Source organism: Homo sapiens, chromosome 2 (genome assembly GCF_000001405.40).
Source record: "Homo sapiens chromosome 2, GRCh38.p14 Primary Assembly".
Classification (NCBI taxonomy): Eukaryota; Metazoa; Chordata; class Mammalia; order Primates; family Hominidae; genus Homo; species Homo sapiens.
In genome coordinates, this window is record NC_000002.12 from 176,565,246 (window position 1) to 176,566,451 (window position 1,206).

General features: G+C 46.0%; 1 annotated feature.

Annotated features, from left to right (window-relative positions):
* Positions 489–989: an enhancer, noted in NCBI's record as "H3K4me1 hESC enhancer chr2:177430462-177430962 (GRCh37/hg19 assembly coordinates)". NCBI's record gives its function as "activates a minimal SCP1, AML or CMV promoter by ChIP-STARR-seq in naive H9 embryonic stem cells {active_cell/tissue: H9 hESC(naive)}" and the evidence as "EXISTENCE:reporter gene assay evidence [ECO:0000049][PMID:30033119]".

A 1,206-nucleotide genomic window follows, 5' to 3' on the forward strand; every position in this document is an offset into this window, starting at 1 on the left:
GCATCATTTAAGTCTTCTTTTTTTTCCTATTTTTCTCTGAAAACAAAACAAAACAAAACAAACAAAAACCAAGTTGGGTTACCTATCCGAACCTTTTTTTTTTAATCTGCAAAATTAGAGGATTGCAAAATTTTTGAATTTTTTTATCTGCAAAATTTATTGAAAATTTTCCTATGAGAGCTATTTCTAATGCCCTATTTCATTTCATATAAAATAGTCAGAGGCCACAGGACAGAGAAGGAAACACATTATTTTCACTGATAGGCTATCAAATAAGAAGAGTAATGAGGATTTGGGTGCAGGGTGCACAACAAGCCTGACTTACAGACACAAGATGCCCAATTAAATGGTGGCCTCCCCAAGGTCACAGCCTCCTTCCTGGTGGTGTCACCTCTCCCCTCTGCTCCTGGTACTCTATAATGCCATGTGTGTCCTGGACTCCCTGACAGCTGTTGACTTAACTCTTCACAGACTTTGTTTATTTTTCTCCAAGTTGGATTATAGACCTAAGGCCAAGCGGGTGGAGACACAGGATTGCCGTAGATATTTGCATTCATTCTTTTCTCGTCATCACTGTTTAGACCAACATGTCTGGTGAAAGTGAGATTTATGAAGAGCCGCCCTCCTTTTGGCTGCCTGGCTTCCTTGCTCACAGTCGGGCTGCCTTGGGATGTTGATTTTTGTTCTTTTGCCATTGTTTCCAGGCTCCCTATTTCTAATTTCTTTTTTCAGAGGCTGACGCAGTTATTTCCACCTCAAGTGCTTGGCCCTGCTCTCCAGCTATGGGCTTCGTAACCCATGGCAACAAGGGAAGGGAAGCAGGTGATCGCACACAACACACATGCACATACACACGCGCGCGCACACACACCCACCCACACACACACACACACACTCGCATGCAACATATTCTCCCCAACCCCCTTCTTTGACTCTGGCAGTCCTGCATGGGGCCCACAGAGGGAGGAGGCTTTCCTGGCTGCAGTGCCAATTAGACACACAGGCCTCGTGGTGCTGGGCGCTCAGGGCTTCCGGGTCACAATGCAGCAGTTGCGGTGGAGCAGCGTGGCCTCTCCTTCTGAGTGCTCCAACTCCTCGTATTTCTCTGGGGCAGCAAAGTAAAATCCGACCTTGCACACACAGAAATGCCTTCACAACAGTCCATTTCCTGCTAGCTGGGAACCTTATTTTATGTCATAATGGCGA